The following is a 19,681-nucleotide window of genomic DNA, read 5'->3' as shown; positions in this document are numbered from 1 at the left end:
TATTTTTCATGTGAATTGGATGTGATTTTGAATCAAGAAGCTTACCATTTTAGCTTTTCTATGTCATTCCTTTGAGATCAAGTTCATGTAAAAAATGTATTCCAACTTTTAAAAAAAGCAGTGTGTGCCCATCATATGCATGTATCTATATGTATTTAGGTATCTATTTTAAAGTTGGCAATGGATGATGTTCTGGAATTCCAGATGTTCAGTGAGCCTATGTATGAAATCTCATGGAGCTAATAAGATGATCTAGCATGAGGCTATAATTTTAATTAGATTGTTTTTATTCTCTCTAATGGAAGAGAAATGCAAAAACATCAATGACCGCAATTTTAAAAATTCATTCCTCAAAACATATTTCTGCATGTAATTATATTAAAAATCACCTTCTCCTCAAATTCTTCTACTCTTTGAAAACTATTGGTAACTGGTGGTCTGACACCCAAAATTCCTCATAGTCATCATTCATTTGCTCATTATATACTATGAAAATGCCCACACCTCCATTCCTGCCTTTGGCCATGACTCCAATCTCAGCCTGTTCCCAGAGAAGGTGAATCATGTTTGATAAGGGTGTATGTGTGCAGAAGGGAATCTAAGGGAGATATTAGGGTCAAAGCAGAATCTTGCTTTGCAAGCCCATTTTTTAGAAATTTAGTATATTCCTTTAAATTCATTCCTTGTGCTGGGAAAAAAAGATTTATTCGGAAGAAGCTGCTAAGGTAATAAGAAAATATAAATCTTTTGGCTGATTGTGGAGATTTTTAAACGATTCAGGGAGAGAAGCTGAGCTTGTGTTGCCAGGTAAGCTAGGAATGAGGATGCACTATAAACTCCCACCCCCTACTTCCTCTGCAGAAGCATCACGTTTTTCTAAGCCTCATTTTGCCCATCTGTAAAGGAAGCAAGATGTTTCTCTATTACAAGGTATAAGAAAGCTTAATGAAATCATGGTCTTAAAGAACTTCTGACAAAAGCCCTATCCTGATATAATGTGGTTTCAGGACTAAGATCAATTATCCTGCCTGAAACCTAGAAGCAATGTCCTTCTTAGGCAGGTGTGGACAGAATGATGCAGTGAGTCTTATTCATCTTTGCATATCTAGACTGAATCCTTTTCAAAGTGGTTTTCAGCAGACCTGAGCTCTCGGATACGTGAAGTATCTACCTCCAGGAGAATAATGGCAGATTATAGGCTCATCTCCGTGGCTGCCTTTTCTCTCTGAGGGTCTAAATTTCACCTTTCAGGTAAATCTCATGCATACCTAAGTACAGGCACCCTCTGAAATGGGCAGATGGGCTTATTTCCCCATCCCCTTCAGGAGGCAAAAACATCTGTCATTGAGTTCCCTAGAACCCACCTATTGTGGCCCAATTCTAATACCTGGGAGGTGATTTTCACCAACCTGCACCTCCTTATTAAAATCATTAAATTCTCATTGTCTACCACTTTTCACTTTGCTCAGGATGGCTGAAAATGAAGTCAAGAAAGAAAAGGTCTTTCCACTTAAATGTAGTCACTCAGATGCAAACCTCCCTGAAGCTCATTCTCTTTCCCATCAATTTCAACACCCACTGAACAATCCACAAATGTTGACTCATTGACTAAACACCTATAAGGTTAATGAGCTATAAGGGAATGTGTTCAGAAAGGAAACACACTGTAGATTTGGTCTTGATGGGCAGGGGAGATTTGAACAGTCAGAGAAGTGTAAGAGAGAGGAAGAAGACATGACAATGACCAGCTGTACGTTGGGAATAGAGAAGCTTCCATCTGTCTTTCTAGAACAAGCCTTCCACTCACGCATTCATTCACTTTGCATTCCTTAATTCAATAAACATTCACTGTCTCCATCCAGCAGGTCAAATACTCTTCTAAGCTTGGGGGAAGTGATGCTCCAGCCAGTAAAGACTGGCTTAAATTTTGCCCTTAAAATTCTCCCAAACACGTAGACTCAGCCACACCCAAACACAAATCTGCAAGTTGAGTTGATGGTAAGGTGAGCTCAGGGCATAAAAGAGCAAAAACATATCTCTGTTGCACTGGGTTTAGAAAATCTCAACATACGAGGTGATTGTTGCAGTGCTCTTTAGGTGTGCACTCATGGTTGTACACAGGGGCCAATAGAACATACCAGGAAAGTGGAGAAATGATGTTGGTAGATTTGATAATGCACCATGAAAGCAGGGTAAGCATCATTGGTTTTCAAGCAAAGCAGTGATATAGTGGAGGTGGGAGGGTTAGGAATGGAGATGCATTTGCAGAAATAAAATATTCTTCAAAGGGATTTTCAAGGGTGGAAATTTCAGGTGAGTCCCCAGTTTTGAAGGAAGTCTTGACTCTCGCTCTCCCCAAGATCAGAGTGTTGCTCTGGGCAAGATAATAAAAGATCCAGGGGACACTGAAGTTTCCTAAGAGAGAATGTGCATTCTTTGAGCCTTGCTGGGCATAGGATATCTTGGTATAATACAGGCAGTATGACAGGAAGGTCACCTCACTGTGTAACCCCCTGTTTTAAAATATTATTTAGAAGCATCCCTAAGGATCTGAGTGTAATTTTGTTCAACCTTTATTTAAAAATCCACCTCTATGACGACCAATTTTTACTGGCCCCTTAGGTGATAACTTAAGACAGATTTCTCTTTAATAGTTTTATAACAATTTAAATCTCAGGCTCATTCATCTCATTTTATTTCCCACATCCATAAAAAGAGCCTGGGTTCTCACTAGGGAAGAAAGAGGAAATCAGGTACCTGGAAGGAAGGGGCAAGTCTCAAGCCTCCCTGACTGGTTGTGGCTTTGCCTAGAGTTCTACTTCTCCCAGGCCTCTGAGCTTCACTTAGCATCCTGGACATGTGGCTAGTCAATCCTAGGTGCAGAACCTAATTCTCCAATTCAAAGACTGTATGACCTGAGAAGTCATTAAAACTCTCCAACAATCAGTTTGCTAATCTGAAAAATGGAGGTAAATGTCACCCATACGTTGGGTAACTCAAATGAAGCAACCTGCAAATGTGCCCAAGGTAGGTGGGTAACTAAAAAACATAAACCATTGTCATGGTTATCTAACCAGAAGGACCATGGTTATTTGCATTTCCTATTGTACTCCCCTTTCTAGTTCACTGTTTCTCCTTCTTCTACTTTTTATAGTCATAAGAAAAAAACTAGTTACTATATGTTCCAATCCCAAAATTTTCCAAAGCAGCTAGATTCAAGGGAGACCAGCTTACACAGAGTTGAGGGCACACGCAATTTCCAGTCCAGGACTGCCCCGTAAATACACTAACTTTAGTGTTTATTTGTAGAAATTAATCTATGTGTTCTATAAATGTATGTCAATAAACTCTGAATTCATTACCATCATGAAGTCTCTAAGGAAACATACCCCCATATGCAAGAAAGCCAAAGGACCAAGAAAAAGAAAAAAAAAAATTCTACATCTTTGTGTGATTTCCCATTAGCAGAAGAAATGCTTCTTTTCATCGTCGATCAAGACACAGTCATTGTTCTGAGCTGCACACAAATGAGTGTCCTTGTATCGTCAACTGGGGACACATCATCAGTTAAAAAAAAAACCCCAACAGACTGGAGCCAAATACTGAGAATTTTAGAACCTAGAAAGGTAGAAAGTAAATGCAAGACACTGATTCTTCAGCCAGTAAATGTAGCTCAAGGCTGAATTTTCAAACTCTTTCGATCCTAGCTAAATATAACTCAGAGGTTTGAATTACTATAAATTCATATTACATTTATCCACAGGATGAGGGTCACATACTAAGTGCTTTTCCAAACATAAAAAAGGTCCCAGACCATGAATTCATTCTCTTTTCAGCATATTTTGCCAATGTTTCTTTAGTTGTAAATAGCAGTGATATTTCTATTAAATTCATTTTCTCCCTTGGTGGCATATCTACTCCAAATACGATCTCATTATCTGCAAGGAGGCAGATTCCCGCTGGACCCTTCCAAATTAGGCCATCAGACTCCCTTGTTTATGCCTTTTAAACTCATTCATACGCGGGCAATGCTATCTCATCCTTCAGAGAGCAGAAACTCACCAGTCCTCTCTGCAGAAGATAAAGAAAAATGAAGCTAATATTTCTCTTTGCTATGCCCATATTTACTGCTTCAACACGACGTAGCTCTTTGCTACCCTCTCTGATGGACACTAATGCAGAGCCAGTGCATTTTGTTCCAAGTGCAGCTTAATGTGCCCACAGATAAATCTTCTGCCCTGCTCTGTATCAAAAACATCTTGGAAATTATGTAAATTATACACCACTGCTCCGGTTTTGTCTACTAATTTTTTAATGTACATGAAATATTCAAGGTGATTTGTGAGGCATGAAATACCTCTTATGAATCCATCCTGACACCTCCCTTGCTGAGAATACATTTCTAAAGGCTGCCCACGTCCATCTGGGGCTGAAGTTTTCAAACTAGATTAAAGATCCACTGGCTGAACTGATAGAAAGACAGAGCCTAAGCATCCCCTCAGGCATGCTACTAGTTCTTTGCTTCCCTCCTTTGCTGCCAGTGGCTTTTGGAGTCTGTAATTTCTCCTTGTGTCTCCTGCTCCATGGCATATTTACTGGGATGGAGGGCTGGAGAAACGAGCTGGAATAATTTTTGAACTTCATGAACTCCTAAGATATCCCATGTCTTGAGGGTCTTTTCTCTGCCCTGTGGATTGGAGGTGAAAACAAAACTGTAAAAGCAAATTCTTTGAATATGATAGAGAACCCAAGACTCTAAATGGTAAGAATAAGGTCATAGCTTTCAGGCATCTGAACTGGGCAAATTAAGATGGCCCACGTATTTTAATCGACTGGTGTAATGCAAAAACTGGGCTTTGATTTCCAGATTTATCAATCATTAGTGGCAAGACCCAAGACATTTAATTTAAGCCTTCTGTACCTCCGTTTGGGGGAAATTAGTGTCACTCTCATAGGGTTGTTGTGAGGATTGAAAGAATTAATGTGCGTATGTGCCCAGAACACTGCCAGGGCTCAGTCAAGGTTAATTTCCTTCCCTCCCTCCTAGTTCATTTCTGTAATAGCTCTTTCCACGATGCCACCCTACTTTGAAATTGGAATAGCTTCCATGTAGGGAGCTGTTTGGCAGGTCATTTACACACATTTTTTATATCCGATGCTCATAACAGTACCGTATAGTTGGCATTAGTATTTCCACACAACAAAGAAAATACTGAGGATATAAAGGTTAGAAAAATTGGCAAAGGGCACACTTTGTTTCATAACTTTTATATCCTAATGCCCAATGGTATGATCCCAAAATTCATCTATGCTCTTTTAACTATGCCTGCTCACTCTTCTTCACATCATTTGACATTCATCCTGTAAGAAGAAAAAAAAATCCCTGGAATCTGGAATATAACATCTCTCTTCTTCTTTTTCTACTATATGATGGCAATATCTCAGGTTGCTTTAAATGTCTGTCTAATCCCTGCCTTTGGGGCTACCCTACTGTCACTCTAATTTCATCAGGGTTTTATGAGCTACATGCTTTTCACCAATTAGAGATTTCTTACAAGGTTTTGAAACATTACTTATCCTCATTTTTGCCAGATGCATTTCATTCTTGCCTTTTTATTTTTTACACATCCATTCCTGCATTTTTATATCTTTGATGACAGCTTAGGATTTTAGTGTCTTGCATTACTGGCCATTTATTCTTTGCTTTATTTATTCATTTATTCTCTTCTACTTCTACTTCGATTTATCATTGAACAGCGCTCCCACTTTTCCAGATGCATTAAGTTATTAACTCCATCCATTTCTTTCCTGTCTTCACCTACAATATTACTCCACGCATTCATTCCTCTTCAACTTTGTCTACCAGAGATCCAATATCTGTGGCTTATGTTTTCCCTTAGCTGCCATATGCTCTTATTTTTAGCCTAATTATGAGCATAATAAAGTTTTGATTGTGATTTTTCCAGGTTTCCCCTTCAATGACTTGAGTCATAACCTCTCTAGTTGCCAACTCTAGTACTTTCACCTATTAGAAGTATAAATAAAATATTAAATTAGAAAACTATATCGCAAATAGTCAGCCACTGTCACCCCCTGCTTTATTCTGTGCAATCTTAGCTACATTGGGTAATTAGAAATGACCCAATTTGAGGACCCTTGTCTTTTTGTTCAGCTGTGGAAAGGGACTGACACTGTGGTTAGGTTTCTAAGTGTGCAGGCTATGTTCAGTGTCAAGCCCAGTGCGGTAAAATTAGAGAACATAAGCCCTGGAAGGGCCTTTAAGTGTCATTCTTAAAAAGTGACATAAAATTGTGAAGTTAAAAAAAAAAAAGAAGGACCTGGAAAGGATCACTTACAAGGATGTGGGAAGGATCACTTACCAGGTATGCCATTTTAAATAAGTCCCTTAACTTTGCTAAGCCTCACTTTCCTCCCTTGCAAGACAGGATTACAAAAGCATGTATTTACCTTATGAAGCTGTGTTGTGGCATATATGAGTCAGCATTTGTGAAATAGTCCAGCACAATTCTAGGCACACAGTATCTTTTTAAATAAATGCCAGTTAAATATGAAGCTAGTACCAGCACGAGGCTGATCCCTGATGGTTCTTGAATATCAGCACCTTGCGGCCAGCCAGTCTATATTTGAGCAATTCCAGTGGCAGAAACCTCACAATCTTCCAGGTTCGTCCATTCCACTCCCACAAAATAGTGGCTTCTAGAATGTTCTTTCAGTATGGGGCAAGGCCTATATCACAGTTCAGGACGTTTAGTCAAAACTGTTCTCCAAACAGAAAGCCATCATTTGTCTCCATTCAAAATCCACCCATGGGCCCTTGTCTCTTTCTTCTAGGCCATATGGACACTCTGATTACAAGCATGAGAGTTATTCATATTTTTGAATAGAGTTCTCAGGTACTGCTCCAGCTCCTTCAACAATGCCTCATAGTTTTCATGATTTTCAATCCCCTTCGGCATCTGTTTCTCTCACTTCTGGACTGTTCAAATATATAAGTTCCCAGAATCCCAAACCTGAATGAAGTATTTCAGGAGCAGCCTACACAGTGCAGAGTAGAACAGAAGTGCCACATTTCTTGTTCTGAATAATCTACTTCTCTTTACAAAGCCCAAGATTAAAATCACTTTTTAAGCAATGATAACCAGCAGTATTTCATTTTAATTAAGCTTATAGTCAAGCAAGAATTCTCTGTTTATATATATATATATATATATATATATGTGTGTGTGTGTGTGTGTGTGTGTGTGTGTGTGTGTGTGTATATATACATATGTATTTTTTTTTTCCTCCATGTATTCTCAGAAAATTGATCTTTGGGATTCAGGCTCAGAACTTTATATTTACTTGGGCCCATCTGATTCATCAGGACAATCCATTGTGATTATAAGAAATCAAAGATCACCCATGAAAATCATTTATCCATTTTATATGTGCCTTTTGATTACTCAGTTTCAGATGCCTTTTCAGGCTCTGAGGATACATTGGTTATCAGAATACATGAATACATCTTTTCCTTTTTGTTTGTTTGTTTCTTTCTCTTTTTTTTTTTGACACAGAGTCTCACTCTGTCGCCCAGGCTGGAGTACAGTGACATGATCTCGGCTCACCACAACCTCTGTTTCCTGGGCCCAAGTGATTCTCCTGCCTCAACCTCCCTGTGGCTAGGAATACAGGTGTCTGCCACCACACCCAGCTAATTTTGTATTTTTTTGTAGAGACAGGGTTTCACCATGTTGGTCAGGTTGGTCTTGAACTCCTGACCTCAAGTGATCTGCCTGCCTCGGCCTCCCAAAGTGCTGGGATTATAGGCGTGAGCCATGGCACCTGGCCAGCATACATCTTTTCTTAAATTAATGGAACTTACAATTCTAGCAGAATAGTTAGTTATTAAACAACTAATTTCAACAATCATGATAAAAAACGGTATCAGGGAAGCATAACAGGAACCTGACTTAGTCTAGGAGGTGTGGGAAAGCTTCTTTTGTAGACTTTTATTTCTAGGTAACGGGAAAATTGCATTTTAAGGAACAAATAAGGGAAAGGCATGTAGGAAGGAAGGCCTTGAAGACAGAAGAAGCATGGCAAATCCAGGGATCTACAAGAAAAACAAATACTAATGTCATGAGAAGAAAAAATATTGTTCTAGTATTATTAGACAAATTTACAGTGATAAATCAGGGTCTTATTATAAGGGAATATGTAGTTTCATTAAGGATTTCTTAAGAACAATGAGAAACTGCTAAGCAATGGGGCAGGATGGAGGGCATGATTAGATTTACATTTTTAAAAGGATAATGTGGGCAGCTGTAGGTGAAACAGTGAATTCAACTGGGAACAAAAGGGACATGTACTAACCCAAGATCAAGGCAACCATTCAGAGCAATAGTACCTTGGACATGGATGGCGGTGGTGGAGAGAGGGAAAAGTGATAGATTTTAAGGACAATTCAGGAACTGGACTATATAGAAGATAGACATTAATTGGAAAAGAAGGGAGAGGGAAAATAGGTATAAAGGATGACACCCATGTTTTTGATTTGCAGGTGTAGATGAATGTTAGTACTATTTACCAAATTTGGGAAAACAAACAAAAAATGGAGAGAGTTGCCATAGAGAGCATGAGTTAAGTTTAAGAGGTATTGAGTTTGAAGTGCTCACTACCTAGCCAAGTGAAGACTTAGGATTGGATATTCATTACTTTTTCTTGTTTCCTTGTATCTACAAATATACGACTACTTTGTGTCTCTTCCTAGATCTTGATGTTCAATGACTAGTTATGCTAGCAAAGCTAAAATAGCTCTGTTGATGGTGTGTACTCATCTGTGTGTAGCAAGAGAGCAAAAGTGAGTGGGAGAGAGAGAAAAAAAAAAGGAAAGGGGGAGGAGAGAGAATTTAAGTTAATTTGCTTCCATCTTGTTTTTATCTTGTTCCATAGCATAACAGAAGAAACTGTTTTTCCTGAATTAGCTCTGATCTAAAAAATTCTTATTCAATAAGTTTATGCTCAAAACCATCTCCCAGACTCTCCCCTGCCCAGCTGATTTCACGTCAAGTGTCCTGATAAAGTAACTGCCCAATTACCAGATTTTTATAATTGCTACATCGAGGCATTAAGCCTGAAGAATATGCATGTTCACGACCTCTATGCCACCTATATTTTTCATCCCTCCATTTTGAGTTTGAAAAATTGGCATGAAAATTGTTTTCTGACACTTCTTTTGAACCCTTAAATTATGTATCTATGACTAATAGCAATGTCTCAGGATGTTCTCTCAGAGAGGAAATCTAGTTTGAAAATCTGTCTTTTGTTTTTCATTCTCCAATTTCCTAAAAAGATCAGTGCAGGGATGTTCTTTGCCCCCCATCCCCCAACAAGCGCCCTCCCTACAGCACACAAAGCCTACTCCCCCCGACTGCTAAAAGGCACTTTCTTCATATTATCCAGCAGCTTGTTTTTGTCCAGCATTTTCATGTGTTTAAAATCAAAGCAGCAACAGGAAAATGGAGAGGGGCTTACACATTGAAAGAATTCACAATGGGGTTTAAAGTCAAACCAGGGTGCATGAAGCCAAATCTCAGCCATGGGTGCTATGAATAGACGAGGTACACTATACACTCCCTGCAGGTAAAGATGAGTCTGTCCTGTCCACTCTTGTGGCAGTCACATCTACCATATGACCTTGAATAAGTAGCTACTCACCAAATTTTGAATTCAGAGGAGTCCTAAATACTCTTTCCAGTCTTTGATTCATCTGGGCTCTGTCTAGGTTCATCTACATTTTTTTTTTTTTTTTTTGAAACAGTGTGTGGTTCTATTACTCAGGCTGGAGTGCAGTGGTGTGATCACAGCTCACAGCAGCCTCGACATCCTGGACTCAAATGACCTCCCACCTCAGCCACCCTAGTAGCTGGGACTACAAGAATGCACCACCATGCCTGGCTAATTTATTTTTTTATTTTTTTTATTTTTATTTTTAGATACGGGGTCTCGCTATGGTGCTCAGGTTGGTCTCAAACCCTTGGGCTCAAGCAGTCCTCCTTCCTCAGCCTCCCAAAGTGTTGGAATTAAAGGTGCTAGCCACCATGCCTGGCCTCATCTACTTCTTTTAAATTCTCCACCTTATCTCTGTAGACATGACTCATAAAACCAGCTCCAAAGACTCTCACACTTTATGGCCTTTCTCCTGAGCCTTTCCCTTTACCAGCCCTGGACTTGTAATCTCAACCTGTGATCAATCTGAAATCATAGACCCTAACCTCCACCTGTGGCTTTGGGTGGAGGTTGATTCAACCAGGTTCTAAATGGTAACACTTAGCCCTAGTACTTCAGTACTTCACTTTCCAGCATTTGCATATGAATCCCAGTGATGTGGATGCTGACTTCTGCTCAGAATGACACTCCTGCTACACGTACACAACCCTTCCCTGTAAACTGAGATTTCCACAAGTTTCCCCAGCTCCAGGTGGTCTCTGGCCACCTGGACACAACCCCTGCACTCACCCAGCATGTACCCTGCCTTCTCCAGGTCTGACTCCTGCTACCTGCAAGAACTGAATTCCTGCTTGTACACTACCCTGTCTCAGTCCATCCTGTTCCCCTGTCCCCAGTGGCGTGATTAGTACTTTTATTTGGGCAAACAATGTATTCCCTGTTGGTCTACATTATCAGACAGAGACTGGGCAAACTGTGACAGGAATCTCATAGAAGTGATTCAAGCATTAACAGAAGGGTCAAATTAAATTGTCTTTGATGCTTCTTTCAATCCTGAACTTCTGACTCTATGAAATATACCACATAAAATATGTAGAAGTCAAAGTTTGCCTCAGCCATGCTATTTTATGCAATATGACTCAAAATTCTACTAAAGGATCTGAGATTTCATGCAGAGGTTATATAGGAAGATTTTATCCTTTACTGAAGGGAGGGACTAAATCATGCTGTCTAGAGTGCAGATTTCAGTAAGGATGGCTGCATGTTAGAAAGATGCCCAAGGGACCCTTTCTGACTATTCCACAATGTCTCTATATCTCATAAGATGCTTTACCTAACTGCAGAGTCTCTTCCGTGGAGATGCTTGGGTTGTCCTTTACGTAATGTGCATTCATCTTTGTCTTGCTGAAGTCCTTCTGTGGCTTTCTGTTCCCCATGGGAAGTCATAGACATGACCTTTGAAGCCCACAAGGACCGGGAGCCTTCTTGCCCAGTAGTTTCAGTTCACACAATGTCCTCTTGGGGGCATGGACTTTAGCACTCCAGGCTAACTGCACTCGGAAGTATGCATAGCTACCTCACACCTCCTTGCCTTCTTGACGTTGCCCTAAAAATTTCCTCCGTTTGAGGGTTTCCTCTGTTTGGGATTCTCCTTGCCCACCATCTCCCCGTCAAAGTCTTAGCCTTCTTCAACATGTAACTTGAACACCATCTCCTGTGGACATCCTCTTTTAGTTCTTCCCCTATTAAGATGACTCATTTCACTGGCTATTCTCCCAACATGGTCTTCTCCTGGAACCCATTTCACTAAGCTAGTATGACTTTTACATCTCTTTCCCTCAGCGAGCTCCATGCAGCAGATGTCCAGGGCTCATTCATCTTTGTGTCTTCTTTGTTCATCCCAATTCTAGGTATTAGGAAATCCATGATAGATATAAATTGAATGAATATATTTTAATTTATTAGATAAATTAGATGAACATAGTTCTATTGACATAAACCAACTTTCTAAATGATTTTCTAACCATTATAATTATGCATAAAGATGTTCAAAAGTACAGATTTCTTGACTGTTTAAGATGACTCCATTCTAAATATTCAAAGATAACTCTTTCATCACTTTTCGAAATTATTTGAACGCAGGGTCCTTAGAGGCTTTTCTTAATCCACTCAAAATCATCTTCAATTCCAAACTTATGTCACTAAAACATCATATTCTCATCACCACTCTTCTATTGCTTCAAAGTTAATTAAACTCTTGTAATCTCTCTCACCTTTACTGATAGTGTTTCACAAAAGTCTAAGTTATAGCCCACAAACTCCTAGAGAAATAATACAACTATTTGAGGCCATTGAGTTGGGAGTATAGAGAAATTTCTACCATTTTGTACATATACCTGATGGACAAAATCCTGGCACGTGAAATAATATTTTAATCTGTATTAATCACTCTGAGCTTTACTGGCTAATGTGACATGTCATTTGCCAAGTTGTGACAGATTCCCAATATTTTGCAGACTTCTGCCAAACAGAGCCGCAGCAGCATCCCCTGAGGCCCCATTTGGTTGTCACACATGATCCAGCTGCCCCATGTCTCATTCATGTTCTTGCTCTGTGACTTTCTTCTCTTTTAATTTTCTTTCTACCTTTCTTTTTTTCCTCTTCTTTCTCTTCAAGTGCCTTATGACTGGTCATTTATTCCAGACTGGGAGGATTAAGAACAAGTTCTTAATGATAAGTAACAACCCAGTGGTTGCTAAGAACAGGTTCTTCTCAAGGAGATAATTCTGGGTTTATTTTCTACTTTTCCAGTTCTGGCTGTGTGATCTCAGACATGTCACGTATTTCTAGTAAACGTAGTTGTCTCATAGGAAATGCCCACTTCATGGCATTGCTGTGATGCTTAAATGAGGCACTGCAGACTTTACATGGGGCATATGGTAAGTGCTCATTTACAGTGAGATCTCCTTTATCGGCTTCCCAAAATGTCTGTCCAGAGGGCTGTCTAAAACAGAGGCCGGGCTTTCATTTGAAAAAATATATAAGATTCTGCAAAGCAGGAAGCATCTTATTCATGATTATATTTCCAGTCTTTTAGAGATTTCATAGAATAGAATGGAGCGAAGAAAGGAACTAAGGTGAATTTTTTTTTTTTTTTTTTTTTTTTTGAGATGGAATCTCGCTCTGTTACCCAGGCTGGAGTGCAGTGGTGCGATCTTGGCTCACTGCAAGCTCCGCCTCCCGGGTTCACGCCATACTCCTGCCTCAGCCTCCGGAGCAGCTGGGACTACAGGTGCAAGCCACCACGCCCGGCTAATTTTTTGTATTTTTAGTAGAGACGGGGTTTCACCTTGTTAGCCAGGATGGTCTCCATCTCCTGGCCTCGTGATCCGCCCGCCTCGGCCTCCCAAAGTGCTGGGATTACAGGCGTGAGCCACCGCGCCCGGCCGCTAAGGTGAATTTAAACCTACTACGTGCCAGCTGCTTTCCTAATCATTTGGCATACATATTCTCACTTGAACCTTACAGTAATACTGCAAGGTAGCTATTATTATCTTTATTTTTCCAAAAGGTGAAAGTAAGGCTCTGAGAGCTGAAGTAGCTTATGATGTGAGATTGCAATGCGTGTAAGTTCCAGACAGAAGCCCAGACATGTCTGTCTGCAAACTTATGTTTTATTTTTCCAGTGAAAATCTGATATTAGGTATAGGCTAAGGCTCTCCTTCCTGAAGTATGTTCTACAAGATGTTGAAAGAGGTTACAAGGTGAAGATAGTTTCTGTAATTAACTTGGTTTGGGAAACGTTAGACTACACAAACAAGCAAAATACATCCCTTTGCAGGACTTCTTCAGAACCTTGAATGAGTGAATACAGTTAACTCTAAATCTCCTAGACTGTAGGGAGCTACATTTGCTCATCTTTCATAGAACATTCAGGAAAACCCTGATCTAGGGAAATGATCTGTAAGTAAGTGTCCACCTGTTCTACCGAAGGATCCAGTATTTCAGTATATTCTACTTTACTTAACGAAATAAGCAAGATCAAATTTGTTCTTTGGATGCCTATAAAATGCTCATTATTAAATCTTGTGAGACACCTGGGGGTTCTCAGCAAATATCACTGTGGTGTTTAATGAGGGCAGATCTACACAAAACATGCATTTTCCAGTAGCATTTTCTACTATTTATTGTGCCGTGATGGCTCCTAGGTACCAGAACCCCTGACACCTAGCTGCTGTAAATCTCCCAAGAAAGGTGATCATTAAATAGATTAAAATGCATAGAAATGACCTAAATGTGGACCATTAGATTAAATGAAGCAGCTACAGTATAATGCCCTGATGTTTCCAGCAACTCTATTCAGATTATAACTGTACCGGTGTTGTGCGACTCACATGATTAAAAAGAATATTACAAATCTTAAACCCCATCCCCCCCACTGAAGGTTTGCAATTGAAATTTCTCCAAGGCTTAGTAAAGAGTTACCTCCAAGAAGGCACTTTGAAACTGACTTTCTAGACCAATCTGCATTTCGATGTGGTTCAGAGCAAAACCTTATCTCTGTGTGGCATGTTTGCAGGAATAACAATGTTTAAATAATGTCTGAAATGGAGCATAAAAATCCTTTGTAACTGAAATGGACATATTGAGAAATCTTAAGCTTCAGCTCACATTACCTTTTTGATATTTCTTTCAAAGACTGACAGTAAGACAGCATCACTTCCAGAAAGTATCTCTCCAAAAGCCCTGTGCATATTTTTGATGTAGTTTTCTCTTGCAACCTCTCCTCATAACTCTAATAAATGCCAATTTAGGGAACAGGAGTGGTTAGAGTTCTAAATTTTTCATCAAATTCTATGTGAAATTGAAGTAGTCTGTCTATTTCTTTCTGTCTAAACTGATCACTGCAAAAAGAGGGGGAAAAAACCCTGTACGTGTGTGTCTTCAAAAAATACCTCTTAATTGGAGTCATTTAAGAAGCTCTGGATAAGATCTTTTTGGCAGAGGAAATATCAGCCAAGGTGGTTTTTTTCTCTGTCGTGTCAAGAGGATTTTTGTTCCCTTATTAGATCATTTTATTTTATTGAGGCTGAAAGCATGGAAGGCAAGGAAAGAGAAGGGAGCTCATATTAGTGGTGTCTTCAGTGGCAAGTACTGTGCTTGGTGTTTTCCATCTTACCACAGTTCACAGTGTCTGATCCTCATAACAACCTTCCTAGGCAGACATTACTGACTCATTTATTGATTAATAAAACTGAAGCTTGAAAGGATTAGTTCATAAGCCATCACGGAAGAAACACATTTTGGACCTATTTCTATCTTGAACAAGTCCATGCTCTTCTCAATATATTCTGCTGCTCGGTTGAGTGTTATCATGTGTGAACACCAAGCATCAACAATAAACAAAGCCATTAAACATGGTGACTGCTATTCAGGTGGGAGCCGTGTTTGCAGGTGTTAGGAAGTGGCAGACATGACTAAGCCTGGATCCCTTTTGCAAAATGGAAGAATGAAAAAAAAGGCAACAATTAACAAGGTACTTAGGTGTACCAGGCTCTCTGCTAAGCATTTAAGTACGCTGTTTAATCCTCATGGCAATCCCAGGACATGGGCACTGTTATTTCTACTTTAAGAGGGAAAAAAACTGAGGCCCAGAAGGTATGCTACCAAAAGTCATAGAGGTAGTGAGTGAGAGAACTGTGATTAGAAGTAATTTGCATGAATCTAGATCCCACTCTGGGAGTATAGTGTACAGTTTAAATGCTACATAGTAAAAGAACATGGGTTTTCTACTTGTTTGTTTGACTGTTAACCTGTATTTTTAAAGCAGCTTAATTGAGGTAATCCACTTGCCATACACAAATCATTTCAAGTTCAATATGTAATATTTTTAGTAAACACACTGGGTTGTGCAACCGTAACCATAACCTCATTCTAGAATATTTATATCTCTCTGAAAAGAAGTCCCACATCCATAACAGTCACTCCCCATCCCCAGTCCTACGCAACCACTAAATCCACTTTTTGTTTCTGTTGATTGGCTTCTTCTGGACATTTCAGGTAAATGGGATCATAGGATACGTGGTCTTCTGTGAGTGGTTCTTATACTTATGATAATGTCTCAGGATTTATCCCCATGTGTTAGCATGTATCAGAACTTCACTTGTATTGCTGAATAATAGTCTATTGTATGGTTATATCACATTGTATTTATCTTAACATCAGTTGATGGATATATGAGTTGTTTCCACCTTTTGACTATTATGAATAATGCTGCTATGCATTGTTTATGTACCAGTTTTTGTGCAGGTGTACATTCTCAGTTATCATAGGTATATATCTAAGGCTGCAATTGCTGGGTCACAGGATAAATCTATGTTTAACATTTTGAGGAACTTTCAAACTGTTTTCCAAAGTGACTGTTCCATTTTACATTTCCACCAGCATTGTAGGAAACTTCCAATTTTCCCACATGCTCACCCACACGTGTTGTCTATCCATTTGATTTTAGCTATCCTAATGAGTATAAAGTGATACTCATTATAATTTTGATTTGCATTTTTTTTTTTTAAATTTGAGACGGAGTCTTGCTCTGCCGCCCAGGCTGGAGTGCAGTGGCGTGATCTCAGCTCACTGCAACATCCGCCTCCCGGGTTCAAGTGATTCTCCTGCCTCAGACTCCTGAGTGGCTAGGATTACAGGTACCTGCAACCGCGCCTGGTTAGTTTTTGTATTTTTAGTAGAGACAGGGTTTCCCCATATTGGCCAGGCTGTTCTCAACCTCTTGACCTCATGATCCATCTGCCTCCACCTCCCAAAGTGCTGGGATTACAGGCGTGAGCCACCACACCTGGCCTGCATTTCTTTAATGACTAAGAATGTTGAGCATCTTTTTATGTATGTATTAACCATTGTATACCTTTTGGGAGAAACATCAATTTTTTTCCTATGTTTTCATTGGGTTGTCTCTATATTATTGAATAGTAAGTTGTCTTTTCATTTATAATATATTTTGCAGCACGAGAGTATTTAATTTTGATGTTATTCAATTTATCTATTTTTTTTTCCTGTTTTCACTTGTGCTTTTAGTGTCTTATCCAGGAAACCATTGTTTATCCATTAGAGAGGGGCAGCTCTTGTTTTGTTCTCTACATAATTTCTGTTACTTTGATCAGAATCTGTCATATATTGAACATCTAAGAAATGGATAATTGAATTACTGGCCAGCTGACTATGTTAGGCAATATAACCTTCAGTATACAGCTATTTACTGGTAAACTTGGAAAGCAATCACAGGTCCTATTATCTCTAAGACCATTGTTCTTACTACTGAGAAATTAGTTTTTATTTATCCACACATTAAAATATTGAGAAATTTTTTTAACTTTTAAGTTAAGGGGTTCATATGTAGGTTTGTTACATAGGTAAACTTGTGTCATGGCAGTCTGAGTTTTAGCTCTTACATTTAATTCTAAGATCCATTTTGAGTTAATTTTTGTGTATGATGTGGAGCTAGGATCCAAATTCATTCTTTTGCATATGGATATCCAGTTGTCCCTGAATCTTTGTTGAAAAGAGCATTATTTTTGATGAGGCAGTCCTTTTTATTGATTTTTATTCTTCCACTTAGTAGCAATGGAAGCTTGAGTTACTCAACCTCAGTTTCCTCATCTGTGAGGCTACTGCTAAACCTACATCTCAATGCCGATGTCAAGAAGAGATAAGTATCTCTGTAATGAGACCTTACCACTTTTTTTAGAATGCCATTATTCAATAGACATCCAACATTCCACACCTCTGAAACATCTTGCTGAAATTAAATGATTAATTCCAACACTATGAGTTTAAATAAATAGGAAATAATTTCATGAATTTGATCTCCCCAGCCCCCACAGGGAGACCATTAGTCATTGTACATTCTTCAGCTGTTCCTCCTAGGGCATAAATATGGAGAAGTTACTGTATGTCAGATATTTGAGAAGGAAGACATTTTCAGTAAGTAGCTCCCCGTGTGACTCCATGTGATAGGCAGCATGGTTACTCCTTTTTGCACATGAAGCAGTCCATCTTTCCACCATATATGTACCCGTCAGACTCTCTGTCTATTCAGAAAGGAGAGATTGGGATGAATTCCATTTCCATTTCTTTTTCCTTTCTTTTTTTTTTTTCCAGTTACAGGGTCTCCCTTTGTTGCCCAGGCTGGAAGGCAGTGATTATTCGCAGGCATGATCATAGTGCACAACAGCCTTGGACTCCTGGGCTCAAGTGCTCCTCCTGCCTCAGCCTACCCAGTAGCTGTGACTACAGGAGTACATCACTGTGCTTGGCTTAGAGAATTCCATTTATTTAGCAGCATTTAGATTCTAGTCTCTATATTGTATTTCCTCTCCAGAATCTAACGATTCTGAGTATATGGTTTTGTGTTATGTTTCTTTTTTTTCTGGAAGGGTTTTAAGTTTTGCTTCTAAAAAATAAGTTGTATATTTTCACTTTGCTTCCAAAGTGGCTGATTCCCTTGGTTATCAAAATTAATAAACCCATTCCATTCTTAGACAAGGTTCTCAGGTCAGTATTATTTAGCACCAAAAGCAGAGAATAGCAAGCTTGTTGATTCTTCCAGACCTTGGTATGGTGTTGGATGCAGCCTCATGTCTTTTCCTGGGGCCAGGAGACATCTTGTTCACATTGAGAAAGCATGCTTTGGACTGATTTATACGTGAGGAAAAAAATATCCTTTCTTAGTAACTGTCCCATAACCCTGGGCCCTTTCTCAGATTCGAACAGGTATTTCATGCATACCACTCATTCCCCGTCCCCCATGATGAGGTTTACTATTATAGTCCACTTGGCTTTCTTTCTCTATAGCTGCCTTAACCTACTCTGATGCCCTGGGGAAGTTTGCACCCCTGCCTGTGTGGTAGTTTCCCAGTTCCTCTTTGTTTTGTTTCTCTTGAAGAAAAATGCCCAAAGACCCATATTCCTTTTAAAGTTTCACTGGTAACTATTTTGACGGAACGAGAAGAGATTAACATGTATGGGAAAGTATCAGAAGTTCCGGTGTTTGACACTTTGCTATCTTTATCCTTTGTTAACTTCACACATGGAACTAGAAGCTGCATTGAACTCCTGTCCTCCCTGCTAGCTAACGATGGAGTTCACCAAACTCCATTTTTTCTTCTTTCTTTGGAGAAATCCTGCTGTCTGATGGCTTTCTGCAGATCTGCACTTCATTACTTGATTATACAAAACTGTACTTTATCGATACCAAAGTACTTGGATTATTTTGTAACACACCAGACATTTCTCACTTCCGTGCCTTGCAGATGTGGCTCCTGCTTCCTGGAGTTCCATACCTTCCCCCTCGTTTAAAATGCAAACCCATTTCATTCTCCTCTTCAAAACTGACTCAAATCTTAAGCATTTAAAAAAGACTTTCCTGAGCAATCTCATCACCATATACAACTAGTTTATCTTGTTTCTGTGCCTCTCCATTTCTTAGAATGATACTCATCACTTTGCATGATGATGTCTTTGTTGTCTGTCTTTCATCCTAGACTGTTTCCCGAGAGCACATCCTACCTCGTTTACTTCCTTTGTAGCTGCAACTGCTACCTGTCACAGAGTAGTAACTAATTAATATTTAGTAAATTGATTTAAATTGAAAGAAATCAGGAGTTTGTAACTCCATTTTCCCTGCTCTAGAAGGTTACTTACACGACGTACATCTGTTCAGCTCACCAACTCACCAGCAGCTTACAAACACCATTCATTGGGAAGGCCTTCAATAAATTAACATTCCCACCTCTACTGACTCCTCTGGCAAGAACAACAAGTTCACAAGTTAGTGGGAATAAAGAAGAGGGGAGGAGGAATATAGGAAGAGAGGAGGAGGGAGGAAGACATTTCATAATTTAACATCATGTGAGCCCTGGCACCTCATTTATTTTACAAA

The 19,681-nt window shown here is 39.4% G+C and overlaps 2 long non-coding RNA genes across 3 annotated transcripts in view; one reads left to right on the top strand and one right to left on the bottom strand.

The window, feature by feature from the left end:
- LOC124903780 (uncharacterized) overlaps positions 1–19,681 on the bottom strand; it is a 161,687-nt gene that overhangs the window by 39,806 nt on the left and 102,200 nt on the right. The window lies entirely within an intron of this gene.
- The window catches only part of LINC00922 (long intergenic non-protein coding RNA 922), a 291,796-nt gene that overhangs the window by 222,373 nt on the left and 49,742 nt on the right, over positions 1–19,681 (top strand). The window lies entirely within an intron of this gene.

The sequence above is a fragment of the Homo sapiens genome, chromosome 16 (assembly GCF_000001405.40).
Source record: "Homo sapiens chromosome 16, GRCh38.p14 Primary Assembly".
Classification (NCBI taxonomy): Eukaryota; Metazoa; Chordata; class Mammalia; order Primates; family Hominidae; genus Homo; species Homo sapiens.
This window is presented reverse-complemented; position numbering and strand designations above follow the sequence as displayed.